We start from the raw sequence: 27,295 nt of genomic DNA, 5'->3' as shown, positions 1-27,295 counted from the left end.
AACGATATTTAGTTGGCTGAGTGCAATTGAGCTCAGATTTCAGCTAAGTCCCATGAGTGCCACCTACTTTGCCTTCTCGCCACTCTCCCCGTGGAGCACCTGACTTCCCCCCGCCCTGCCTTCCCATGTGCCTCCAAGAGGCCTCCGTGAACTTCCCGTGTTCTAAGGACGCTGCTTTCTGGCCACGCAATGGCTTTGCTAATGTGCTATTCCATATGTCGGTGACTCTGGAATTCCTGCCTCAAGGATGCAGTCAATGTTTTGTGGAATAAATTGAAGATAAAGTGGGGGCAATGCATTGTTGCCTCTGGAGCAGTGGGGGCAATGCAATGCCTCTGGAGCCTGAGGGACCCCAGTTCCAGGCCCAGCCACTTCCTAGCTGCTTGACCTTGGATGTCTTGCTGAAGCTCCCTAAGCCTCTGTTTCTTTACCAGCACCATGCATTTCATAGAAGTACCCATTTCACAAGGTGGTGGGGGAACTCAGATACCACATAAAAATGCTAAGCCCATAGTAAGTCTTAGCTGATGTTAGGTATGATTGTTGCCTTTTTCTTTAACAATTATGTCCAGCTTAAGTGCTGCCCTCAAGTGTTCTACAGGGCATCCAGGTTTTTCCAAGTTTAGCTCCTCAATTCCATCAGACTGGATCCTCCATGGGGTCAGGGTTTTTTGTTCACAGTTATGTCGTTATCCCGAAGCCCAGCTCCTGGCTTGGAGGTGGCCAGCAGTGTTTGTTGGGAGAATCATCAGAGGATACAGGCCTCATGGATTTTCTGCTAAAGACAAGGATGAATCTAGAAGGCTTCTTACTTGGCCCCAAGAAGTGGATAGGACTCAAAGGGCAGCCAAATACCTGGTGAGGCTGCATCACATCTGCGGTCTCTTTAATGCCCCGGTTCATTGAAGTCCTTTTAGGGGAATTAAATAGATTCAGCTTCATTTCATGAGGCAGGAATTCCAGAGTCACTGACATATGGAATAGCCATTAGCAAAGTCATTGTGTGGCCAGAAAGTCCTTAGAACACAGGAAGTTCACGGAGGCCTCTTGGAGGCAAATGGGAATGCAGCATGGGGGAAGTCAGGTGCTCCACCGGGAGAGTGGCGAGAAGGCAAAGTAGGTGGCACTCAGTGGGACTTAACTGAAATCTGAACTCAGTTGCACTCAGCCAACCAAATTTACATCCATGTGGGCTCCACAAAGGCAGGGAGACCTCTGTGTGGATCACTATTTTATCCCAAGGTGCCTGGGATTCAGCAAAGACCTTGTTTAAGGAATTATTGATGACAGGCAGCGACTCTCATGTGCTGAGAATGGCAGACAGGGGATGGGCGTTTCTGGTCTAGCTTGGGGTGGGAAAAAAGCCATATTTGGCCCCATGTTGGGCATCTTTGCCCTAAGGGATTGCAGGGAGCAGGCCTACATGAGAATGTTCTCAGATGCTCCAAGTGCAGTATTGCAATATCTGCTTGAACATGAGTGGACATGCTTACACGTCAGTCTCCACATGGGCTGTTTGCCTGCAATGATTCTCCCCAGATACCCCATGGCACCCTTCCTCACCTCCTTCACGTCTTACCCAAATGTCACCTGTGGCAGATGTTGTCCCTGCCCATGTGCCCTGGACCTCTAAGTGTTTCCTGGCCATCTTACAACTGCCTTATCTGCATCCGTGCCCAAGGGCTCTGCACACCTCCATAAAGACCTTCACAGACTAGAGAGCAGCCCTCAAACAATGACTGCTGGGGCATCAATACCCCACCTCCTCTGCCATTGGGTGGGACAAAGCTATAGTCAGTTCCCCAGAGTTTCCTGCAGTTTCCCTGCAGGGTTGAGTTCCGTTTGCCTCCTGTGTAGGATATTCTGTTAGGGAGCCAACCCAATAGGCTGCCCTTTATGGGCCACCTTCCCTTTCCTGTATCACTTCTCCTCTTCCCTACTGGAATTTCCTGCACCTTCCAAATGTGAGTGTGACTTTCATTCAAATCCTTGATTCAAGGTCTGTTTCTGGGAAAACTCAAGCTAAGACATCTACCTTTCCAGTAAGGCTTTCCTTGTACCCCCAAGCCTCTAGCCCACTCCCTGTCCCTTCCCTGTCTCTTCCCTGCTTTATTTTTCTCCATGGCAAGCATAGATGTGCCTGCCCCACATTTCATTTGCTTGTCTTGCTTCCTGTCCATCTTCCCCTGACTACAAGGTAAGTTCTATGAGGGTAGACTCAGGCCATTGCCTGTTGTGTTCATTGCTGTTCTTGCTGGTGGTTGGAACAGTGCTTGGCACATAGCAGGCTCTGATAATGATTTGTTGGTTGAATTAATAAATCTGGAGCTGTAGAATGTTAGAATAGTGTAACTTCTCAGTAATTCCAGATTTTTGAAAAGCCCCTAGATGTCCATACTTCAAAAGCTACCCTAGTCCCCCTGGGTTGTACAGCCTTTTGCATCCCATTAGATTTGCTTTTCTGGAGTCTGGGCACAGAATAGCCTTCCTGTTCAAGGCCTGTGTCTCCCAGACCAGCACAAGGCTGTTTCACACCAGTGATCTTACGTGATTTCTAGAAGCCCTGTGGGTGCTTGGCTATGCCACACAAGGGAAAGCACTTAATTAAGACTTACATTCCTGCATCCTCCCAGGCTGTTTATGTGGGCCAGGGTGGTGTGGCTGCAGCTGCCATGCCCCAGAGCCTGCAGTGACCCCTTGTTCTCCGCCTGGCCTGACCAGCATAGTTTGGGAGTGGCACCTTTGGGCCAGACCCTCTAAGAAGTGGGAGAGAGTGACTGTGTCCCATCTCTGTTTCTCTGGCAGGGGAAGATCTTGGGAATATGTGGGAATGTGGGAAGTGGAAAGAGCTCCCTCCTTGCAGCTCTCCTAGGACAGGTAAGCTGTGTGATGAGTGCTGTGAAGATGGAACATTAACATGACAATGAAATGGCTCCCTTCCGGTCAGGCGTGGACCCAGCAGATGGCCTCGGCTGCACTGGACACTGTGCATGTGGTTCACAATAATTTTTGGGAGGTTAATGCACGCAGCAGCTCCAGGCCCCTGGGCCAGATGAGGCTGAGTTTTTCACAAACTCTTGAGTTTGCCAATGAGGAGGTCTATTGAATGGCATTGCCTCCTTGCCTAAAGCTCCATCTTGGTCAAAGGAGAGATGGGTCCTTAAACCCATGGTTATCCCCATGAGTTGGGCTGCCCTGATTTAGAAATGCCAGCAAGGCAGCTTGGTGTGGAAGGACTTTGGAGTCTGGAGCTCATGGTGACTATAGATGTATTTTATGCCTGAACTAAAGCAGCTCATGCCCCCACCTTCTCTGCAAACCTTGGGGTAGGAAGAGGGAGGGGACTTGGGTCATTGTCCCTTCCCTGCTCCTTCTAGTTGGGTGACCCCAGGGAAAATGGCTAAGCCATTTGTAGTTTTCACAAACCTCTATGTTGCCACGGTTTCTAAGTCACATCCCACATGAATGAGAAGCTTTGTGGAAAAAAAATGCTAAGTCCTCTTTCTCCCCACTCTGCTGTTGCTAAAGAGAAGTTTGTGCAGCTGGGATTGCCTCTTTCAGGAAGAGGTCGGGGTACTTCTGAAGAAGTGGGGACTCCAGAATAGGGTGGTGGGGGGATGTGTCTTATGAGTTTTAATATGAGTGACTTCTTTTGGCCTCAGTTGACTCATCTATAGAAAGAATGACAACTCCTTCCCTGCCTGGAGGTGGAGGTGGGGGCTGAATTGGATGAGTTCCTGAGGTCACCCACGCTCTGAGAGTGTGTGCCTCCATGATGAGTCAGCGTGAGCCATAGAGGTGACTCAGCTCAATTCCCCACATAATGATGTGAATACTCTTAATAGCATCCTACTGCATAAGAGATGGCCCAACTGCTCGGATAGCTCCAGTGATGGGAAGCTCATCATGTCACAGCCAGTTCCTTCTTTGGAGAGTTTTGATGTATATTGGAGTGAAATTTGCCTCCTTTTAATTTCTGTCCTTTGGAAATTTTGAGATAACATTAAGTCTATCTCCCATGAGACAGTGGTGGGATCAGGCCCCTGGCTGTGGTCACTGGGGAAGCAGGGGGGCACTCTGGACAGCCTGGGTTCCCCAGCTGTTTCTGCCACATGCTCACTATTTAGCCTTGGGCAGGTAACTTAACCTCTCTGAGCCTCATGAAACCACTTGGTTTCCTTGTCTGTAAAATGGGACTAAGGAGAGTTGTGGTGAGGTTTGAATGAGATCATGTAAGCAATAGTTGGCTATAGGATAATTTGCAAGGCCAGTCATGGTGAAAAACATTGAACATACATTTAATTCAGTTCACGGAATATACCCTACACATTAAAAATACTACAATTATTATTGTTATTATCATGGTCTCTTCTCCAAATTGAATTCTCTGTCCATTGCACAACTCCTGAGGTGAAGTGGCATCACATCCTTCGGCCGCCTTGGTGACTCTCCTTCTTTGCCCCTGGACCCACTGCCACTGCCCCGTGAGCATCAGCCCTGAGCACTGTGGCCTGCCCCACATGTACCCTCTGTTGATAACTTTGAACGTTGCATCCCCGCTGTCTACCATTGTCTATTGGATGCCCACGATGAGGGGTCATCTTAAATGAACATATGTACTCAGGGTCACAAACTGGAGCCCATGCATAGTTTTAATTGATTGCTGAATGCTTTAAAAGTCCAAAGATGTCATATAAAACTGGATCTTTGACTCCTCTGGACAAATTAGAAAATCCTGCTCCATCAGGCCTGCATCCTTGCATGGCACCAAAGATGCAACTGAGTCAAGGCTGCTTCCTGAAGATGGGGTGTGCCAAGGCCAACACCCACAGCCGTGCAGGTGGTGCCCTGCTCCCAGGGCCTGGCTGAGCAGGGTTGGATCCAGCCAGTGCACCTGGAGGAAGGGGAGCCTCTTGTGAAGAGTCTGTTCAGAGAACATCCTGTTGTAGTTGGGCCCAGGTGCCATGTGCACTGGGAGCAGCCCTGCAGTCCAAGCTCTCCCATTTGTAGCAGAGCTTACCACTGCCTCTTTTCAAGCATTCCCTGCCTGGCCCTGTGCAGGTGTTTGACTCTGAGATTCTGCATCTGCATGGTTGGGCTTTCTGGTGCATGGACAAGATGTCCTGTCAACGCTTTTGTGCCTTCATAACCAATGCTTGTGGAATATGTGGGTGCCAGGGTGCAATGGGCATTTGAGGAAAAGTTCTCAAGGCTTGGCTCCTGAAGCTTCTCCCGTCTTGTTGTTCCAGATGCAGCTGCAGAAAGGGGTGGTGGCAGTCAATGGAACTTTGGCCTACGTTTCACAGCAGGCATGGATCTTTCATGGAAATGTGAGAGAAAACATACTCTTTGGAGAAAAGTATGATCACCAAAGGTAATATTAACTTTTAAAGCAGGAGGCACATTTGTGTTTGGTACACACTCTCCTACAGATGCTGATGCTGTTGGTAATGACTGCTAAGTGGGTTCTGAGTTTAATGAATTCTGATTAAACATTCATCAGATCCACACAGACACTGGTTTTCCTCTTCCTGAGCCAAGCGTTCAGGAGAGGCGACTTCTGCAGACCTGCGACTGCACACTGGGAAGAGGATAGAATCGGCACTTCATTCCCAGGGCAGAGGAGCATATGTTCCGAGGTTCTCTGCAACAGGGCATATGTGGTCTGACTAGAGAAAAGTGAATCCAGCAATTTTGCTTTAGGCTGAGTACCCAAAACTGCTCAGAATCATGAGCAAGTATGTAATGAATCAGCCCTGACATTATTAATTGACATCAGAGCTATCAGGATATATTATCACTGTTAGTGTCCTCAGAATGGTCTAACTAAATAAAAACAAAGCTCAACTTATAATTACTTGATTTACTTTGAGCCATCATCTTTTTTATATCATTTTATTTTTTAAATGGACATAATTACATTTATCTATGGGGTACACTTTTGTGTTTTGATATATGACGCTGGGGGAGAGGGGAGTGTGGGGAAAGGATAGATGTTGACCAAAGGGTACAAAGTTTCAATTAGACAGGAGAAATAGGCGTTAGTGATCTATTGCACAGAATGGTGACAATGATAAATTTTAATGTATTATATATTTCAAAAGTACTGAAATAGTATATTGTAAATGTTTTCAACACGAAAATTGCGAGTATGTATTTGTAATAACTGTAGTATGTAATGAACAGACAGCAATTTGGGGAGAAATATTTTCTCTAAGAACATTTAATAACCCATTAGCTGGGCGCAGTGGCTCACGCCTGTAATCCCAGAACTTTGGGAGTCCGAGGCAGGTGGATCATGAGGTCAGGGGTTTGAGACCAGCCTGACCAACATGGTGAAACCCTGTCTCTACTAAAAATACAAAAATTAGCTGGGCGTGGTGGTGGGCACCTGTAATCCCAGCTACTCAGGAGGCTGAGGCAGGAGAATTGCTTGAACCCGGGAGGTGGAGGTTGCAGTGAGCCGAGATCATGCCACTGCACTCCAGCCTGGGCAAAAGAGCGAGACTCCTTCTCAAAAAAAAAAAAAAACAAAAAACTCATTAATACCGTGATCACCGTGGACATTTCTATAGTTATTCTCTCCCTACTTCTGAAATGTTTGAGTTTTCTAAATTTTAATTTTAACATTAGATTCAGGGGGTACAGTTTTGTTACAGGGGTATATAGTGTGATGCTGAGGTTTGGGTTTCTACTGATCCTGTTCACTCTCTGTTGGACATAGTACCCAATAGGAAGCTGTTCATCCGTGCGCCCTCTCATCCTCCATCCTTTTGGAATTCCCACTGCCTCTTGTTGCCATCTTTATGTCTGTGCATACCCAAGGTTTAGCTCCCATGTATAAATGAGAACATGTGATATTTGGTTTTCTGTTTCTGTGTGAATTTACTTAAGATAATGAAGTCCAGCTGCCTCATGTTGCTACATGATTTTGTTCTTTTTTACGGCTGCATAGTATTCTATGGTGTATATATACCACATTTTCTTTATCCAATTCACCATTGATTGGACCATCATCTTTAAGCTCTGGAAAGTAATGGCTTCCTATGGTTCTTTGCTTAGCTTGGTGTATTGCCACGTACATTCTCTCATTTGAGTCCCTTAACCACCCATTTAGAGAGATTGTGGCATTATATCCCCATTTTACAGATAAATAAAAGGGCCTAGAGAGGCGAGTTGACCCTCCCAAGGTATTAAATGCTATTAAATGTCAGAGTTGAGTCTTGGACTTAGACGTTGAGCTCCAGATCAACATCAGTTTTCTGGAGCTGGAGGTGCCTGACAGCTGGGTCACTCAGAAACCTTCCCAGGCATCACAATGCTTAATTAAGAGAACTGGAGTTGGTTTTAGGAATCTGGCTGTCAGCTCTCCAGTGGTAGTTTGGCCTTTCTCATCTTACCCACCAACTCTGTCCCTGCTGGCTGGTATGGCAGCATGTATGTTCTCATCAAGAGGCTTGTCAATTCACCTCCTCTTCCCCGGCCATGCCGTCCTGTGGCCAGGAGGCTCAGGTGTGGCAGGAAGGTGATCAGTGCAGGAGTCAGTGATCAGTATAGCCAAATTACTCTGCTCAGCATCTCTTGGCCTGTGCCACCCACCTGGAATGCCTTCTCTGTCTGTGGATGCGGACTGGACAGAGGGTTGCCTTATTCATCAAAATGATGTTCAGAGGGCAAATATGTGCCAAATGCCTGCAGCATGCAGGGCACATGGGGAAAGAGATGGCTCAGGTGTATCTTTGCCCTTAAGATGCTCAAGTCTGGAATGGGCTATAAGAAATGCACAGAAATGACAGTGCACCAGGGAGGAATGAGCCAGGTGGCAGTAGACCGTGCTCGGATTGTTCCAAGGCAGCAGAGATCACGAGAGGATGGTGGATCAGGGAAGAGAAGATGGCACTTGAATTGGGCTTTGAAAGATGGATCTAGCATCCTTCATATGTGGCATATTTAGCAGAGATTTTGCTCCTAGGGCAGAAACTGTGGCTCTCAGGGCCATAGGAAGCAGGAGGGTGGGAGGAAATTGAAGGTGGGAGGTGTTGAGGGGAGGAAGATGTGCTGCGCAGTCTGAGTCAGATTGGCAAATGTAGTAATAGCAATTATAGCCCCCACTGATGGAGAATTTGCCATGCAGCAGACACTGTGCTAATGGCTTCACATGTTTTTCTGCTCCATTCTCACAACAACCCAATGAGAATTAGTTGTTTGCACAATTTTATAGAGCAGAGAGTGAGGATCAGGGAGGTACAGTCACTTGTCCAAGGTCGCCCAGCTGGATTCAAACCATTCTCTGATTCCAAGGCCCCTCATCATAACTGCTATGTACACCAACCCCAAAGTTTGTGTGTGGGCATGATGCTTGGGCTGTGCCCAGGTTCTGTTTTGGGGCCTGTGTGCAACCGGAAGGGCAGCTGCTCATGCCTGCCACTCTCTTTCTTGCCTCTTTATTGGGAAGGTCTGTCTTTTGATGTCTGAGTTGTGAGGCCTGCCCATTGTTACTCGCTGAAGGAAAGAGGGTCCTGATGACGATAATGCCAATGATATCAATCAATCAATTCTGTCATCAACCAACCAATCAGCCACTGTGGAGGCAGGCAACCTGCTGAGCAGGACAGAAACCTAAAGGCCCAGTGGTGCTGCTCAGCAGCTGCTGGGAGGGAGCACAAACCTGAGCCAGGCACTGCAGGCATCCTGAGCAGGAGTTGGGTCCCCAAGGCGGCTGTGCGGGGGCTCTGTGATGCCTGGGGAAGGTTCTGCTTATGGTGGGGGCTGTATGAGTGAGGTTGAGTTGCAGAGAAAACCGAGGGAGGAGGGTGTGGGCATCTGTCATAACATGGGGACGACATCCCAGTGACCACGGACGTTCCTAGGTTCCTCGGTGCCAGAAGGCCCCAAAGGCCTCCCCTGGGGCAGAGCGGGGTCATGCCCCTGGGGACCGCTGTGGGGCTGACCCCACAGCTTTGCTGCTTTTTGCAGGATAGGGCGCTAGTCCTGGCGGCTTGGCTGCCGCAGAGCTGGCTAGGGCCTCGGCTGTCAAACTCCCCAAAGCCTGGGCTGCAGGGCTAGGCAGAGCGTGACGCTGAGGGGGCACAGTGGAGAGGCCAAGAGGCCCAAAGAGCAGGAGTCCCACTCTCTCTCCCATTCCGCCCCCTCACCTCAGGTGCCATTCCCTTCGACTCAGTATCCCGAGTTGTTGCAGGGGAGAAAACTCCATTCTCTCCAACCTACTAGCAGTGAGGGGTGGATGGAGTAGCTTTGTGGAGGGGCTGGGCAAATGTCAAGGTCGTCACTGGTGATCACCCAGCCCCCTGCTGTTAGCCTCCTTCACACACACCCTCTCTTCCACCCACGGTCCTGCTTCAGCCCTGTGACCCCCAGGAGGCCATCCCCAGTAACTGCAGCCCCCAAGGGTGACCCCTCCTCTGACTCCCATGAGCGTCCAGCAGGTGGCGCCCTCAGTGTTTCCTGCAGGGCTTTCCTGTTCAGCGTTGTCTTCTTCCCTGCTTGGCGAAAACCCTGCCAGGGAAGGGGCCATTCCTGAATCAACTCTGCATCAGGTCAGGGGAGGGGCCAGTGGTCACTGGGACGCTACCCTTGGGTCATTGAAGGCAGAGCGACTGGCCAGGGAGCCTTGGACATAGCAGCCGCCACCCCTGGCCTTGCCCCAGCAACACCAGCAGCGCCTGTGGAAGCAGCCCAGGGCAGCAGTGCTTGGGGTCTTTCTCACCCAGCTACTTCTGAGCTTTGCACCAACAGGTATCAGCACACAGTCCGCGTCTGTGGCCTCCAGAAGGACCTGAGCAACCTCCCCTATGGAGACCTGACTGAGGTGAGCGGGGCTGGGAGCGCAAGCCCACTGTAGCTGCACACAGTACATTTGCTCAGGTCCAAAGGGCTGAGGCCAGCAAGCCCCTGTTCCACATCCAGATGCCCCAAGGACGTGTGGGCAAAGCTCAGGTTCCACCCATTCTGAATTCTTCCTCTGGATCTATACTTGCTGGATGTCATAGTGGACGTGGCACCAAGCTTACTGGTGTTTGGCACAGTGTAGTCACTTCTTGGGGCTACTCCCAATCTGCCTGTCGTCTCAGGAAGGGTTTCTGGTGAAAACTGCTTCCTCATCCCAAGGGCTGGCTCTGTCCTGCAAACCAGGGCCCCTTCTTGCCTCACTGGCTCTGCCCAGGCCAGGAGTATGGGGGTCACCTCTAAACATTGCCCCCTGGGGTGCTTGTCCAAACGGGCTGAGCCTGCCACCCCATCCTGGGCTGAGCCTGCCACCCCAAGAGACCCAGGGGAGTCACCTTGCCATCTCGGGTCCCCACCCTTCTTGTGCTCTCTGCACAATCTTCCTCACCTTGCCCAGGAGCCCCAGAGGAGATCAGAAGGCTAAAGCTTTCTGAGGAAAGGCAGTTTGGGGTGTCTTTCTCTACTGGTGCCCTCAGTCTGCATCCCCAAGGAAGTGGCCGTGAAGCCTTCCTGGCCTGCATCTGAGACCTCCCACACTGCAGCCCTGGTTCACCCTTCCAGGCCATGCTCCTACCTGCCTGCCAAAGTGTCCACTCACTTCCTAGCCTCTAAGTCTCTGCTCCTGTGACATCACTATCCTTTGAGTTTCAACCCAAAATCTGCCTCCTCAAGGAAGGCTTTCCCAAGTCCCACCACCTGAATAATTTGCCACAAAGTACTCTACTGATGCTCTTCAGCAGGCGCTTGTGAAATTCTGCTTGCTGCTGCTATTATGTACATAACTACCCTGCCCACCGTGGAGCTCCCCAGGGAGAGGGGACTTCTCTTGTCCAGCTTGTGTGTCCCGCCCCGTGCCTAACTCAACATCTGGCTGAACACCTGGGGTTCACTTTGGGTTCCATTGGATAGAATCACCTACAGCAAGCAATCATCCTTTCCATAAATATTTACTGAGCACCTATTCTGTGCCCAGCATGGTGCCAGGCCTTAGGGTGGTGATGATGAACCAGGAAGTCAAGGCTTATCTCTCCACAGTGCTTAGAGTTGCCTAGGGATGGGATAGTTGCTCTACAAGTAAACAAAATAGGGAACTCGCTTTTCCATCTGCACCCAGCCACGTTTCCCTCTGGTTCACTGCTGCATTCTCCCCAGCTCTCTGCTCACACAATTCCCTTTGGTGATAAAAATGACGTAGCCCCTCCCTGTGGGATCTGCATTGGGCTGGGGTCTTGTGAGATGGGCACCCCTCAATCCTCATGGGAAAGAGCTTTGCCCTCGTTGCCGCTGCCCACTGGGCTTCCTGGAGAGGTAGACAAGTGGAGCACTTCCACTCACCACAGAGTCTCGTGTGACCGGGGGCCCTGTAAGGGGCGGAGGAACTTGGATATGGCGAGGATCAGTGTGTACGTCTTTCCCCTGAGTCCTGAGAAGCTCCAGGAAGCTTCCATTGCCCAAGAACTTCAGGGTGGGCTGACAATGGGCAGTAGCATTGTCCCTGTCCACAGATTGGGGAGCGGGGCCTCAACCTCTCTGGGGGGCAGAGGCAGAGGATTAGCCTGGCCCGCGCTGTCTACTCCGACCGTCAGCTCTACCTGCTGGACGACCCCCTGTCGGCCGTGGACGCCCACGTGGGGAAGCACGTCTTTGAGGAGTGCATTAAGAAGACGCTCAGGGGAAAGACAGTCGTCCTGGTGACCCACCAGCTACAGGTGATGGGACATGCAGGATCCAGGAGGTCACGGGATGGGTGTGGCTGGGGATCTGATGCTCACAGAGCCTCCTCTTCTGCCTATATCTGCCTGTCTTCAGCTGGGAATGTGGGGAGGGAGCCAGGGATGCAAGAGACACTCATGATTCCCCAGCCTTCCTGGCTCCCAGGAGGCCCACCTCTTCCACTCCATGCATGGCCTCAGTGGGGCCAAGACTTTTCCTGCACCAGAGGGTAGATTCTCTAGAAGCAATTGAGTCCTGCCTGTGGGTGGATTGGGGCACCCTTCCCCAAGTTCTGGGCGCCTGGTAAGATGGGGAGCCAGGGAAAACAATGACGGCCCCACCCTTACTCCAGCAATTCTGGGCAAGCCTGAGGCCAGGGATACCTTGACTGGGGGTGTCAGGGGGTGGTAGACCTCTTGGATGAGGGGCCCAGATGCCCCAGGTATCACACCCCAGGGGAAAGGGGCTTGAAGCCAGGACTTTGGGACTAAGGCTGAGGCTTTGGGGAAGCTCTCTCTGCTCAGGGCCACTGTCTCAGGCTAAGGAGCATGAATCTCACTGAAGAAAGCGACTGGGCTTGACCTCAGTGAATTTAAGAATTTGGCAGAGTGGGAACAGCCCTCACTGCATTGGTCTCACATAAGGCGTCCTGATTGCCTGATGGGAATCCAAGAACCTCCTCCTCCCAGGCCAGGTTTCCCTGCTTCCAGACCATCTCCCTCTCTCTTCTTTGTAGGGAATCCCCAGAGATGTGTGGGGGAAGGGGGGGCAGTGCATGTGTGTGCACGTGTGTGTTCATGCGTGCACGTGGGTGTCTCCTTGCCCGACGAGAGATTCCTTGGGATTGACTTATGTTGAAAGGCCTATTGGAGCAGGAGAGCAAGTGTCCCGTCTTCTTTACTCTCCTGCTACCTGCAGAGAACATGTTACATAAGGGCCTGGTCTGGGGGCAGGAAGCAGGTCTTTGCAAAGGTAAGTCAAGCTGGGGTGGAGAGGGAGGGGCAATAGCAGCAAATAAAGTTGCCATGGCTATAGGATGCTGCAGCCAGCATTTTAGGACCCTCCAGTAGTGGCCAGGAGGACCAGCCTAAAGAGGGTGTTCCTCGAAGACCCTGTAAAACCAAGCTTTCCCATTGCTGTGATGCTGCCCCTAGCCTGAGCTCACCTTTGCCCAGGGCTAGAGTTCTGGTCCCGGAATAAGCTCCAGGCATCCGAATTTTGCGCATGGGGATTGTCTGGATTTCCTCTGAGTGGGCCTGAGCACCTCCAGGAAGCATCATGCTGGGCTGGTGTGGGCAAGAGCTCCTAGTTCTTCTTCTGGCCTAGTTCTTCTTCTGAGTTAGGATGGAGGACAAGGTTGGATTTCTTCAAGACCCTCATGAGGTGACAGAATGGGCTCTGGCCCAGTCTGGATGCTAAACCTGGCAGCCCTAGCTCTGCACCTGGAATATCCCTGGAGACACCCTGCAGCAGGGAGGGCTGTCCTCCAAGGGCTCTGGGGATCTGGAGGGGGATGCCTCATCCCTGACAGATGTGGGTCATGGCTGTCCCTCCAGGAGTCCTCATGAGGGGAATCATAACCTTGGTCCTGGTTCGGTCTTTGAAACTGACTGAGCCGCAGTATGACCTCAGGCAGGAGCCATCTTCACACCAGGTCCATCTCCTTAGATTCCACCTTCCCGTGTCATTTTATCCAACTTTTTGCAAGTTGGAAGAGGCAGGTAGCCACCAGGTGGCACAAGATCTTGGTCCTGCTGTGCCTTGTCAGGGAGAATGGAACTTAGAGCCCCAGAACTGCGGCCCGGGGCTTTTCCAGAGCCTATCCCCTCTGCTCTTACTCCCAGGCCCACAGGCAAGCATCTTAGTGGTTGGGGTGGATGATCGCTCTTCTAAGGAAACCACTGAAATCCAACCCAGGTGCAGATTTGGTGACGGCTTGCAGAACAAAGCTGCTCAAATCTGCCTCATATCTCTGGAGTGAACTGGGGGCTTGCTGACCAGAGGGGGCTTCCCCGGGAGCTCCTGGAGCTGGAGCGTGTGCTGTGGCTATGGGACTGGAACAGGCTTATGGTGTCTCAGTTTCCCCATCTGAAAAATCAGCTGATAAGACAGGGAGCTGGGCAGTTAGTGGGAGGGAGGCATGAGGGCTGGAGCTGTCCAAGCTGTTAGAACTGTTATCATTCAGCCTTTGGGCACCCTCCCAACTCGCCCAATCAAGTGTACAATGACCGAACACAGCTACTTCTTTCAGGCTTGTAATCAAGAGCAGCAGAGGTTGATTTGACCTTGGATGAACCGTGCAGTATCAGGGAAGACCTCTGGCCCATACTGCAAAGGCTTCTTTCGGTCAAACCATCTTTAGTCTCAGCATCTTGCCCACCTCTAGGAGGGAGCTTCCTTGATCCTGGGGGGAGAGCTCTGTGTCTCATTCCAAAATGAAAGGAAAACCCTCTTAGCAGAACTCTTTGATCTCAGGAATGATATGGAAATGAAGGGAATTCAAATTAAAAAAAACAGAAGTGCTTTGGGCAAAATGTGGGATGCCAGCATTAAATGTAGCTGTGTTTTTATCTCATAGATAAAGCTGGCATAAATTCCTCAGGCCAGGGAATGTGGCCTCTTGCCTGGAGACCACACCGTGGTCTGCTTCTCCTGGGCTAAATGGGGATGATGAGGGAGGCTTGTAATTTTAGAACACAGGAGGACCTTCGTGAAGATCATATTTCCCCTCCCTACCAAGTCCTGGCTGCTGTGACTGTCAGTTTTATTTTCCAAATCTCCATGATCAGATTTCGATTTATTTATTTAATTTTTTTGAGACAGAGTCTTGCTCTGTCATCCAGGCTGGAGTGCAGTGGCACCTTCTTGGCTCACTGCAACCTCCACCTCCTGAGTTCAAGCGATTCTCCTGCCTCAACCTCCTGAGTAGCTGGATTATAGGTGCACGCCACCATACCCAGCTACTTTTTGTATTTTTAGTAGAGATGGGGTTTCACCATGTTGGCCAGGTGGGTCTCGAACTCCTGACCTTAGGTGATCCACCCGCTTCAGCCTCCCAAAGTGCCGGGACTACAGGTGTGAGCCACTGCGCCTGGCCATGATCAGATTTCTTAGGAAGGCAGCTCATTTAAGGAGCAGTAGCAAAGGAAGATTCAGTGTTCTTTACTGTGAGAGCCAAAGGCTGGCTTTTTTTTGGACTCATGAGACCTGTGGGTACTAGATGAATGGTTCTGTGCTGGGGGCCAATCTGCCCCCAGGAGGCACTTGGCAATGTCTGGAGACATCATTGCTTGTCACACCTCCAGGAGGGGGTGCTACCGACATCTAGTGGGGTAGAGGCCAGGGAGGGTGGTAAATATCCTACAATGCACAGGACAGCCCCCTCAAACAAAGAATGATCTGGCCCCTAAAGTCAACAGTGGTAACTAAGGTTGGAGAGGAGTTTGGCATGGGCTCTCCTTTCCAGGCAGAAGTTCATTGTCGATCACTTACTTCTGCAGTTCTTAGAGTCTTGTGATGAAGTTATTTTATTAGAAGATGGAGAGATTTGTGAAAAGGGAACCCACAAGGAGTTAATGGAGGAGAGAGGGCGCTATGCAAAACTGATTCACAACCTGCGAGGATTGCAGTTCAAGGTAACTCACACCTGGGCAGGTGTGGGAACAATTGGGGCGGAATCCCTCAGGATTTCGTGCCTGGGAGAGGTCCTGTCACTTAGCATTCAGAAGGAATTTCATTTTGTCTCCAGGATCCTGAACACCTTTACAATGCAGCAATGGTGGAAGCCTTCAAGGAGAGCCCTGCTGAGAGAGAGGAAGATGCTGGTATAATCGGTTAGAATCCCATCCCTGTTATTGTCCTTGGCTTGAATGGACACAGATCTCTCTTTATTTCTCACCCTAGTTTTGGCTCCAGGAAATGAGAAAGATGAAGGAAAAGAATCTGAAACAGGCTCAGAATTTGTAGACACAAAAGGTATTTACCACACATCCCCTCAGTCACATACACTTAAGGATGTATTGGGCATCTACCGTTTGGGATACAGACAGTGTAGACACTGTGCATGTCATTTTGGGCAGCCAGAATTGGATGGTCTAGGGTACTGTGTGCCTTGGGGTTCCACTGCCTAAGTCCAAATTTTGGCTCCACCACTTACTAGTTTTGTGACCTTGAGCAAGATACTTGGCCACTCTGAACCTTAGCCTCCTAATCTATAAAATGAGGAAGTAGTACCAACCACAATTTCTTGTAAAGATTAAATGAGAAAATGAACATAAAATGATTCGCACACTGCCTGACACACAGTGATGCTCAATAGTTATTATGAGCTGGAGAGATCAAAGTACTGCATGGGGATTCGTTAGAGGCAAAGGCAGACACGGAGCTTCCCACTCTTTATGGGGAGCATTGAGAACGGATTATGAAGCAGTGAAGGGATTGAGGTGGGATAAGGTTATTATTCTTTCAACAAATAAAGGTTAAGCATTGACTGTGTGCCTAGTAGTACTAAACTGGGCTGAGGAGAGTAAGAAGAGATGCCCGTGTTCTCAGGATCTTGTGGTCTGGAGGGGACTCAGGCAGATGGGTAACTATGGGAAACCAGTAAGAGTAATGGGGAATTTGGGTGAGAGAAACAAACATGTCAGGGAGGCCTTCACAGAGGGGGTGGCCTTCGGACTGGTCCCTCAAGGTTGTATAGGAGTTTGCTGGGGACACTGTGGTGAGAAGGTGGGAGAGGGTAGAGGGCTTGAGGTTGAGGGTAGGAGGAGATTCCAGGGAGGTGGGGAGACGAGATGTGGAAGATGAGCCTGGTGGGGGCTACCTGGTCAGGCCACCTCTTCTCCTCCATAGACACCCTGCCTTCATTCACTCCACATCCCTAGAGCACCTACTCTGCCCCTTGCCCCATGCTGGACACAGAGAGGACTGAGGTCAATAGTCCTCAAAGTATACACAGCAAGGTGGCTTTCCAAGTTATTCTGTTCCTCAATAATGCATAGCCAAAAAAAAAACTTCGCACATTTCATCAAATTTAAGATGCCATCCATTTTTAAAGGCTACCACCATTTTACCTACCACTTGGAAAGAAAAAAAAATCTCTGCTAACTAAACGATATGACATACTAGCAAATGGAAGGCACATCCAGATTCCAGAGATGTTACAATGTGGGGGAAAGAAGTGAGCCTTCGAATCGATGAGATCTGGCATCCTCAATGGTGCTTGTGACAAATGCACGCACATTTGGAAAGGCAACATAGTTTTACAGTTCCAGAGGCTTCCAGGGCTGAAGTACCCAGATATCTCTTCTGTGCTTTTTGGAGAAACCTTCAGGCTGCCCGGGATTTGGGGTCCCGTGGAGAGAGTAATCTCTGCTCCTCACTTCCTCATCACTCACCCCTCTCTGGAGAGGAAAGTGTAATTGTGAAATTTCATGCTGGAGAGAGACCTAGTCCTCAAGGATAAACAACGGGGCTGTCAAGGGCGGTGAAAGCTGGAGGAAGGGAAGACTCGTGAACTGGTTAAAGACAACACTGCCCACCTGCCTGGCATCACAGCATCTTCTAAGGCACAGCCGAGGCAAACAGAGCATCAGCGGCACTCCTGCCCCAGCCTGCGGGCTGCGAGGGAATGTGACCAGTCCCTTTTGTGCTCCTGGATGCTGTTCATTAGGCTCTGCTCACACGCTGAGGCGTCTCCCTCATTTTGCAGTTTCAGAGGGAGACACAATGGGCTGAAGTCAGGCTGAACATTTTCAAAGGAGCTCCAGGTTCCCAGGCAGCGAGTATAATGGTGGCTCTATTCAGCAAGGTGCCTTTGAGGCGTGAAAGCTTTTCCTGTTGGGCCAGAGTGCACAGTCTGTATGTGGGGTGCCCCCTCTTCTAACTCTATTTATCTCTGTTTATAAAAGCCAAGTACGGTGTATAATTCTGCTTTGGAGTCGACATTTTCGCATTTCTCTGTGGAGGAGCGGAAGAGACATGCATTCAGTACTGGCTGCTAGGAGCTGCTTTATCCAGCATCCCTTTTCCTCCAAAATCTTGTTTCCATGAGAACTTGACAGTCATTTTCCCTTCCCCTTGGGGAATGGAAGAACCTGGGACAGACATTGAGGGAATCAGGTGTCCATGCAGCAGCTGACCTAGGGGGATACGCTGGTTTTCTTCTGTATGGCATGAGCTCTGAGAACACAGGACCTGCCTCTTTCTTGCTCACTCTGTAGCAGATGACAAGGGTGCCTTTACCACTTCAGCATGCCCAGCCCCCTCCCAAATGCCATCTCTGCATTCCTTTGCCTGGGGGCTCTTTCTGGGAGATGCCAGCTAATGTCAAGCTGGAAGTACGGGAATTAACACCCCCATCCAGGGAGCGGCCTTCACCCCAAGGCCAATAGGAATCAGTACAGAAAAATCCCAGATCCCTCTCATCACGTGAAAAAGCCCTGAGTGTGTGCCTACACTGGTTCTGAGATTTTTCACATGGGATGAAGCCCCAGTGGCCCACAGTGGTCGCCAGCTTGGTGACACACCTTACTCCCTTTAGCTCCCAAATAAACCTCATGTATTCATAGTCTCTTCTTGGGTGCTGCTTCTAGGAGAAATACACCAAGACAATCCTTGCATCCTCAGGACTGACCATATAGTAGGTGCTTAATAAATATTTCTCAAGAGACCAGAAGCTTACTTCACAGGGCTGTACTGAAGACCGAGTAGCACAAAATGAGCAAAAGTGTGTTGGAAGTGCATTTGAGAGCATGGGACGAGTGGAAGGATGCATCACAGCCCCCTTAGCCGTGTTGTGGAGTCTGTGGAGGGGCCGTGCCTACCTCGCTGGGCCCCCACCCCAGTGGTGAGAGCCATGGCACTTGTGTTTGTCTCCACAGTTCCTGAGCACCAGCTCATCCAGACTGAATCCCCCCAGGAAGGAACCGTGACCTGGAAAACATATCACACGTACATTAAGGCTTCTGGAGGTTCAGTATAAAACAACAAGTTTCTTGATTTAATTTGCATTTTAAAAATCCTGTCTTAAACTGTTGGGTTCACGTTTTATGATTTCTTTAACAATTATTCTGTTTATGCTAGGGCCATTTATCAATGCTTTTATTTTTTCCCCTCCTAAAAACTAACGTCTGATAATACAGCCTTTTAAATGGAATCATTCTTTATCTCCATTAAAGCTGCCAGACTCTCTTTTATTGGAGTGGAGTGAGCAGCAGCATGAACCCTACCCTTGCACTCCAGTTGCTCTGTACAGCAGTGGCCAGTCCATTGCCAGCCTTCCATAAAAGATGCTCATCTCAGTGTGCAAAACATGCCTGTAGTTTCACTCTCTGTCTCTCTCCAGCAAGACTGGGTTTTCCTTGGTTTCTTTTTCTTTCTTTCTTTCTTTCCTTTTTTTTTTGAAATGGAGTCTTGCTCTGTCACCCAGGCTGGAGTGCAATGGTGCAATCTCGGCTGACTGCAACCTCCAACCTCTGCCTCCCAGGTTCAAGCAATTCTCCTGCCTCAGCCTCCCAAGTAGCTGGGATTACAGGCACCCGCCACTATGCCTGGCTAATTTTCCTATTTTTAGTAGAGACGAGGTTTCACCATGTTGGCCAGGCTAGTCTCGAACTCCTGACCTCAGGTGATCCGCCTGCCTCAGCTTCCCAAAGTGCTGGGATTACAGGCGTGAACCACCATGCCCGACCTTCCTTGGCTTCTTTTAAAAGAATATTGAGTCACTTCTATTGAAGTGCACATTGGTGGTTTTTCCAATATGTTCACTGTTTGGAGCCATTTTCCAACCAGGTAGAACAGATGTCCCCACAGTTCAGGGTCCCAACACTCAGATGTGCTGCATCAGTCTAGCAGGTGGTTTCCAGGCGTGGGAGTCCTTTTCCTGCAGGTTTTGAATTTCCCATCAGGGTTGGGTCCTGAGGAAGGTCAGCCCCTGCCATGTGCTCATGTCTGCAGCCCCTTGGGCCTCTCCGCTCCTCTTGCAGGGTACCTCCTTTCTCTCTTCACTGTGTTCCTCTTCCTCCTGATGATTGGCAGCGCTGCCTTCAGCAACTGGTGGCTGGGTCTCTGGTTGGACAAGGGCTCACGGGTGAGTTTCCCTTTGGCATTGGAAGATGCCGAGTCTGTGTCTTGGAGTAAAACTCTGCTGCCAGAGCATCTGACTGCCCCTGCCACCATGCCATGAGCCCACATGCATCCCTCTGCCCTTTTCAAGAAGTGGGAGTCAGATGCTTACACCACAGGACCCAAACCCCTGGAATCCCCTTTGATTTTTCAAGACAAGCAGGGTATAGACACCACTTTCAGATTTTAAAGGGTTGACTAAAGAAGACTGTGCCCCAGCTTGTCTGGAATCAGGCACGTACAAGATTGGGTCAGTTTCACAGCCTCTCTTGTAAGTTTCCTCCAGGAAAGCCTAACACTGATTTGTGTCTTCCTAAAGAGAAACTGGCATCTTGTTACGGACACTGCCCAGTGCCAGAAGGTCCCACGTGTCTCTGCTCCCCAAAGTTGTCTCTGCATGAACAGGATGGGCAAGCATCAGATTCAGGCTTTGCAAATGCCACAGAGCCATGGGGGACCCTTCTCTGCAGGGCCCTTCCTGGGAAGAAATGATGTGTTGACTCTCTCTTGAGCTTGCTGGGAGTTCTCCCAGCTTTTGGCCAATGGTCTCAAAGCTTTCCTGGAGCCCTGGGGAGTGCTGTGGGGACGCTGGCCCATCCTCCAAGATTACATTTGGTACAGCTCTGTTGCTATGACAACCAAAGGGTGGTGGCACTGGGGAGATGGGGGCAGGGGAGAGGCTGCTGGGTGGCCTGCTCTGTGCAGAAATAGAGAGCCATCTCTGGAATAGACAGATTCTCCCAGATCCCCCCTCACTCACGAAGAGCCCTGTCCTTGGAGAGCCCGAGGTTTGGAGTCAGGGTGCAGCCTCCTCACAGGCTTGGTGCTTCCCCAGGAGTCCCACTGCCATTGGCTGATTAAGCATGCAGCCATGGTGGCTGAACCATGTGTTTGCCCCTGGTGCCCCAGACACTGTATGTTTGCGCCTGGTGCCCTGGACACTATGTGTTTGCCCCTGCCCTCCCAGACATGCAGCCACGGTGGTTGAACCATGTGTTTGGCCCTGGTGCCCCAGCACAATCAAAGGCACAGGAGTGTCTCCTCTTCAGGCTGGGCCTTCTATCCCTCAACTCCCCAGAGATACTTTTGCTTTTAACGATGTTCATCCATCAGCCACCTCTGATTTACATTTCCGCTATGACTGTAATCAGCAAAATGGCATTTAGAAGAAAGATGCTTGTTTGCTCCCCAAGGGCAGTCTTGACTTTTAGTACACAGCCCAGAGAAAAACGAAACTGCCAATTTCTCAGGGCAAGGAGATGCCCTCTCCTCAGAAGTGCCGGCAAAATTGTGTGTTTTCACTGGGCAGGATGGAGCCACAGATTCTTTGAATCCTCTGAAAGCCACTTGTATTCACTGGGCACCCTCCTCCCCACCAAAGATCCCAGGGCAGTACCCCAGCACCCTCTCTGTTACCCCTTGGGAAAAAGAAAGGGAAGGGACTGTGGAGCTGGCCCATCATACAGAGAAGCCCCCCGAGTTGCCCTGAAGGCCTGGTGGCTGCTGCCACACAGCTGAGCATGCTGGAGGTCAGTTCCTGATCCTCTATCCAGTCCGGGTTGCCTGAGGGTTACTCCTCCAGCCTGGTGGAATTCCAATTCCCCATTTGCCTCTCTGATCTTCCCAGCCCAGCATTGCTTCTGGTCTCCCGAGGTGCAGTGAGCTTCGGGGATGTCTGCCCAGTGCCCATCTGGTTTCTCTGCTTTGTTTTTCCCACTGTGCTGAGCTCACAAGTCAGGTGCCCCTTGGGGTCATGAGTGCCAGCAGGAGGAACCCCACAAAGCTCAGAGGCCCCAGAAGGGAACAGACTAGATTGTATCCACCTGACTCATTCAAAACACTCATGTGCTTCTTCTTAGTTTCTTCTCTCTGGAAAGATTCTCCGGAAAATTCCTGTTCTCCTGGCAGGAATTTATCAATTCTTGGTGCTTCTCTTGTTTTTCTCCAAAGATGACCTGTGGGCCCCAGGGCAACAGGACCATGTGTGAGGTCGGCGCGGTGCTGGCAGACATCGGTCAGCATGTGTACCAGTGGGTGTACACTGCAAGCATGGTGTTCATGCTGGTGTTTGGCGTCACCAAAGGCTTCGTCTTCACCAAGACCACACTGATGGCATCCTCCTCTCTGCATGACACGGTGTTTGATAAGGTAGGGCCACAAGCATTGCAGGTGTACCCAGTTATTCAGTCAACAAGGTATACGGAGCACCTGCAGTGTGCCAGGCATGGTGCTGGGCTCTGGGGACAGCCAGAGCCCTCATAGAGCTTGCAGTCTAGTCTGGGAAGAGTCTCCCAAATAGCTAATTACCAACTGAAGGTAGATTCCAGGGAGCTGTGGGGGTGGATCAGCCCTGAGTCTGGGCTATGGGATGGAGGCGTGGGAGGCCACTCCGCCGCAGAGATGCGCAGGCCAAGCAAGCACCTCCTGCTCCAAAGAGCCCTGAGTGCGACACGGCCCTCAAGAGATCCTTCCAGCCCCCTCTGCATTCCACTGCTGTGGTGGGTGGCAGCCAGGGCCTGGGAGGGCCCTGGCTAGAGCATGTGGGTGGGGCCCACACTTTGGAGGTAAAGAGACAAAGTGAAACTTGGCTTTTTATTGCCATGGGGCACAAAATTCCTTCCTCCGACAAAGGCATCAGCCTCTCCCGTCTCAGGCTGCATCCCAGATTTGAAGGGGAAGCCTGACCTATAGGGGGTCTCTCGGGACTTCCACACAGAGACTGAATCCCCACATTCACACTCATTCACGGTGGCCGCAAGAATGGGGTGCATCCTCCCTTTCCCAAGATCACCTGACACACTGTGTTGTGCCCTGGAAAAAAGGTCAGGCCCTGTGCTCACAATTTCACCTCCAGCAGAGCAGCAGGGTTTACTAAGCACGCATCTCGACTCTGTTTGACTCTCTACCATTCTCCACAGATCTTAAAGAGCCCAATGAGTTTCTTTGACACGACTCCCACTGGCAGGCTAATGAACCGTTTTTCCAAGGATATGGACGAGCTGGATGTGAGGCTGCCGTTTCACGCAGAGAACTTTCTGCAGCAGTTTTTTATGGTGGTGTTTATTCTCGTGATCTTGGCTGCTGTGTTTCCTGCTGTCCTTTTAGTCGTGGCCAGCCTTGCTGTAGGCTTCTTCATTCTGTTACGGTAGGCCCATGTGCTATTTACACGAGAAAACGATACACACACACACTGACTGGGTATCAGGTGATATTGAGCATGGAGTGCTTGCTGTCTTTACTGATGGTCTACCATTGATTTTTTTTGTACTTAGTAAATGCCAGGTGCTTTGCATACATCTGGCATTTTAGCCCCAGAGCAACCCTGAGAGGTGGAAACTATTGAAAGATTACGGCACTGGTCCCAGGCCAAGAAACTAGTAGCCATGATTGCCTCCTCTCTGCTGCTATGTTCCTAACCATGGGGCTCTACCGTTGCTGCTCTGAGCTTTGAGAAATAACCGCCACCCTAACCATGGGTGTGTTTAGAGAAAGGCCTTAGGCAGCTTTGCACAGTGTCGGGGCGGGGGTTCCCACTGCAGCTGTGCACACCCACCCTGGGGGAAAGCAGGAGGACAGCCATGATTCCAGCCTCCTAGGAGACCTGCCCGGCTCCCTGCTGTTCCTGGGGTGAGCTGGGGTTCCTAGCAGGTAGCATGGTGGGTATTGGGTGAGGGCAAAGGGTTGCAAATCAGAGAAATTTGCATTAGAGCCCCAGCTCTGCCACAACTAGCTGAAGGACCTTGGAGAAGTCAGAGAGGTGCTGCAAACCTCAGTTTCCTCTCTCCTTAATGGTAATCATTGAAATATATGCCTCACCTGTTTCAGAGGGCTTGTGAGGATCAGGGAGACTACACAACCAATGCTTGTTGGTTAAAAATGGAATAAGCTGTTATGCAAGAGTTTCCATAAAAATCATAACTAAAAATAATCATTTATCATGATCCTAGACCTGCCCAGCCAGTGGGATAGTTATTGTAGATCTGAAAGAGAATCCCCCAAATTATAAAATATTTAGCCCACAAACCCTGAACTTGCTTTCACCTGTGCACAGGATTATGCTCCTAGACGTGCCCAGCCAGTGGGTTAGTTATTGTAGATCTGAAAGAGAATCCTCCAAATAAAATATTCAGCCCACAAACCCTAGACTTGCTTTCACCTGTGCACAGGTTTGTTGGTTTTCACGCTCAGATCCTAGTTTTAGAAATAATTGCTGTGGCCACAGTGTGGAGGGTGAATGGAGCTACAGAAAGGTCAGGGCAGACTATAGAGCAGGAGTCCCTTGAAATCTACAGTCTGTGTGAGAGAATTAATGAGGACCAGACGTAGGCAGCAGCAGTGGGAACAGAAGAGAGGTGTGGATTTGAGAGCCATTTCCAAGGTAGTGTCATCAGGGTTTCACTTCCCACGTCTGGTGGAATTTTGGGTGTTGGGGGATGGGAGAGGCAAAGGATGATTTCAAGGTGGAGAGCGATGTGAAGAGAGATACGTGTGGTGCAGGAGGAGAAGCGGTTTGGGGAATAAGAATACGAGTTTAGTTTCGGATGTTTCAGTTCTGTTCAACAAGTCGGCTGATGGTGTCCGTGGACAGTGGCAAATGCGGGTGTGGGAATGTACTGGGGCAGGAGAGCTGGACTCTGTGCAGGGGCAGGTGTGGCTCTGGGAGCTGACACTGTGCCCTAGAGAGCTGGGAGAGCTGGACTCTTGCTGCTGTCTTTCACTGTTCCCGTGGTGACCCTGAGGAAGCGAAATTGTTAGGGTGTCCAGGTTCTTGAAGGGTGTCCAAGTTCTTGATGTCCTGAGCAAAGAATTGGACAAAACGCACAAAGCAAGGAAAGAAAGAAGCAACAAAAGCAGAGATTTATTAAAAATGAAAGTACACTCCCACAGGATGGGAGCAAGCCTGAGCATAGGGGCTCAAAGCTCAGTTACAGAATTTTCTGGGGTTTAAATACCCTCTAGAGGTTTCCCATTGGCCACTTGGTGTACGCCCCATGCAAATGAAGTAGTGGCCCATGATCAGTCTGACTGGTTGCAGAAAGCGACTAATCAGAGGCTGAAGTGAAGTTACAGTTACTCCTATACAAATGAAGACTTGGCCTGCCACCAGCCTGATTGGTTGTGGGAGGGGACTAATCAAAGGTACATCTGTCATCCAGAAAAAGGGGCAGGTGTGCAAGGAGAGTAGCCTTTGAGCCTTTTGTTACCTAGGCGGGGAAAGTTGGGGTTTTCATTTTGATTTAGTTCTAGGAAGTCAGCGTGAATTGGCCTTAGGTTCCCTGCCTCCAGACCCTCTTCTCCTGTCTCCAAATGAAATGGTCTGAGTCTCCAAACTCAAGGGTTTATTGTGATGACCAAATACAAATAATTTCTGAGAGTCATTTACAGGATAAAAGCAAGTCCTGGATGTCATGCTTACAGTGGATTCTTTGGGCTCATGTTCCTTTTTGTCATTCCTGTATTTGATCATTGCTCTTGTCTGTCCTCCTGTTTATGCAGTTGATTTACTTAGTAAAAGCTCTTTCCCTGCTCTGTACCCACCCCTCTAGCTATAAAGACTAGACAGACCAGAGCTCGTCCTGCTTGAATTATCCAAGTGTTTCCAAACAACTCACTTTAGCTCTGCACTAATGAGACTTCCCTCCTCACTGCCCTGGGTTTGTTTTGGCTGAGAGTCTGGAGGTTTGATTGTCTTCTCTCTCGGGGGCCAGCCAGCTGCTGTAAACACCCGAGGTCCCTGGTCTCCTGCTCACCAGGGCTCCTGGAGCTTCCACATAAAGGGGAGCTGCATCCCGTGGGTGTTTGGTTTTAAAGTCAGCTATAATGACGTTCATTCAAAATTACCTTTGAAAATGCCTTTAGAAGGCCACATGTTGGCAGTTGACACACCGGGTTTTCTTCCAGAGTTAGATCAGATCACTTTTTCTCTGGCTGGGCACCAAAAAGTGGTTGGCTGATACTTAGGGGCTGTGCTGTATGAGAAATTTTGGTTTTAGAAGACTAGAATCACGCCTTGTGGAGCGAGACTTTCCTGATATGAGAAACACAGCACCGTGGCCAAACGAAGGTGCCGCTGACTCATGGTTCTCACGCCTCCGCCATTCCCACACCTGGGGCAGGCACCACTGCAGAATGGCAGGCTGCTCTTCATCCCCAGTTAGATGGCACCGTCTCTGACTTAAGCACTGTGCTGAGTGCCTAGTTGGCTCTGTATGTGTGAGGGCAAGCCTGATGAGACCTCACTTTGTGGCCCACCTGGCCCCTTTCAATTTTCTTCCAGCATTTTCCACAGAGGAGTCCAGGAGCTCAAGAAGGTGGAGAATGTCAGCCGGTCACCCTGGTTCACCCACATCACCTCCTCCATGCAGGGCCTGGGCATCATTCACGCCTATGGCAAGAAGGAGAGCTGCATCACCTAGTGAGTCCCATGTGGGGCCCTGCCCCAGGCCCCCATGCTTCATGCCTGACTCCGATGGGGAGTGCACAGGAGGAGGGAAGTCTGGGCTGCTGGGGACTGATCACAGACAAAGAGCTGGAAGAATCAGGAGGAGTCCTTGAAGACACTTGGCCTCACAGCCTCTCTTCCAGCATCTTGGGCCCCAGAAGATGTGAATGAGGGGAGCTTGTTCAATGACAACCTCATTTGTTCTATTTTTCATTCTAAAAGTAAAAATGTGTTTGATTCAGGAAGATAGGGAAAAGAAGAAAAAAGAAGAAAAAAATCACTTACAGCCCCTCCCCAAACCCAAACCTATTAATTTTTTCATGTTTCCTTCCATTTTTTGTTCTTTTTTTCTATTCATGGCGTCTTCTTTTTCTTCTTATTTATAATCATTTCTTAAATTTATTTAACAGTTTGAAATAGCCTGTTTCATGTTATTACACGAGTCTTGTAAAAATAATTTCTAAAGGCCACCTTTCATTTCACTTAGCATTTTCTTCTTTTTAAAATATGGGGACTACATTAGTAAATCTCTCTGGCATCTTCCAGCTTCAAACTTCTAAAATATGACATAAAATGTATAAATCAGACTGGGCGCGGTGGCTCACGCCTGTAATTCCAGCACTTTGGAAGGCCGAGGTGGGTGGATCATGTGAGGTCAGGAGTTTGAGACCAGCCTGGCCAACATGACGAAACCCCATCTCTACTAAAAATACAAAAATTAGCTGGGTGTGGTGGTGGGCACCTGTAATGTCAGCTACTTGGGAGGCTGAGGCAGGAGAATCACTTGAACCTGGGAGGCAGAGGTTACAGTGAGCTGAGATTGTGCTACTGCTCTCTAGCCTGGGCAACAGAGTGAGACTCTGTCTCAAAAAAAAAAAAAAAGAAAAAGGATAAATCACAGTAGGCTCACTGCAGTAACAATAAGCCCAAATCTTAGGGAGATCATGCAATAAATTTTTATTTTTCCTGATGTCACAATTTAGTGAAGGTCCATGGGGCAACAGTAGGTGATTGTACTCCACACTCAGGCATAGTCTGTTTCTATCTGGG

At 50.0% G+C, this 27,295-nt stretch overlaps 1 protein-coding gene across 9 annotated transcripts in view, besides 4 other annotated features; it reads left to right on the top strand.

The window, feature by feature from the left end:
* Window positions 1-27,295, top strand: part of ABCC12 (ATP binding cassette subfamily C member 12) — a 75,112-nt gene that overhangs the window by 28,904 nt on the left and 18,913 nt on the right. For 3 of the 9 annotated variants that reach the window (NR_171631.1, NR_171630.1, NR_171633.1), the window contains exons 10-21: window positions 2,806-2,877; window positions 5,250-5,374; window positions 9,757-9,829; window positions 11,472-11,675; window positions 15,180-15,314; window positions 15,428-15,503; window positions 15,583-15,654; window positions 18,561-18,650; window positions 19,665-19,768; window positions 21,754-21,951; window positions 22,722-22,948; window positions 26,081-26,218. Coding sequence is in view for 3 of the 9 variants with exons in the window: in NM_001393797.1 (NP_001380726.1) it covers window positions 2,806-2,877; window positions 5,250-5,374; window positions 9,757-9,829; window positions 11,472-11,675; window positions 15,180-15,314; window positions 15,428-15,512; window positions 15,583-15,654; window positions 18,561-18,650; window positions 19,665-19,768; window positions 21,754-21,951; window positions 22,722-22,948; window positions 26,081-26,218 (1,523 nt within the window). In the remaining 6 variants the exon portion in view is untranslated. Of the gene's footprint in view, window positions 1-2,805; window positions 2,878-5,249; window positions 5,852-9,756; window positions 9,830-11,471; window positions 11,676-15,179; window positions 15,315-15,427; window positions 15,513-15,582; window positions 15,655-18,560; window positions 18,651-19,664; window positions 19,769-21,753; window positions 21,952-22,721; window positions 22,949-26,080; window positions 26,219-27,295 lie in introns of those variants that run through there. The other 6 variants (NM_001393797.1, NM_033226.3, NR_171628.1 and 3 more) reach the window with 5 other exon arrangements.
* Window positions 2,910-4,109: an enhancer, noted in NCBI's record as "P300/CBP strongly-dependent group 1 enhancer chr16:48156892-48158091 (GRCh37/hg19 assembly coordinates)". NCBI's record gives its function as "activates an origin of replication core promoter dependent on BRD2, BRD4, P300/CBP, MED14 and CDK7 cofactors, with strong dependence on P300/CBP, by STARR-seq in HCT116 cells {active_cell/tissue: HCT116}" and the evidence as "EXISTENCE:reporter gene assay evidence [ECO:0000049][PMID:35650434]".
* Window positions 3,584-3,703: an enhancer, noted in NCBI's record as "active region_10790". NCBI's record gives its function as "activates an Ori minimal core promoter by ATAC-STARR-seq in GM12878 lymphoblastoid cells {active_cell/tissue: GM12878}" and the evidence as "EXISTENCE:reporter gene assay evidence [ECO:0000049][PMID:35858748]".
* Window positions 9,283-10,145: an enhancer, noted in NCBI's record as "H3K4me1 hESC enhancer chr16:48150856-48151718 (GRCh37/hg19 assembly coordinates)". NCBI's record gives its function as "activates a minimal SCP1, AML or CMV promoter by ChIP-STARR-seq in primed H9 embryonic stem cells {active_cell/tissue: H9 hESC(primed)}" and the evidence as "EXISTENCE:reporter gene assay evidence [ECO:0000049][PMID:30033119]".
* Window positions 25,497-26,196: an enhancer, noted in NCBI's record as "active region_10789". NCBI's record gives its function as "activates an Ori minimal core promoter by ATAC-STARR-seq in GM12878 lymphoblastoid cells {active_cell/tissue: GM12878}" and the evidence as "EXISTENCE:reporter gene assay evidence [ECO:0000049][PMID:35858748]".

This window comes from Homo sapiens, chromosome 16 (genome assembly GCF_000001405.40).
Source record: "Homo sapiens chromosome 16, GRCh38.p14 Primary Assembly".
Classification (NCBI taxonomy): Eukaryota; Metazoa; Chordata; class Mammalia; order Primates; family Hominidae; genus Homo; species Homo sapiens.
Note: the sequence above shows the minus strand (reverse complement) of the source record. Positions and strands in the feature narration are given on the sequence as shown.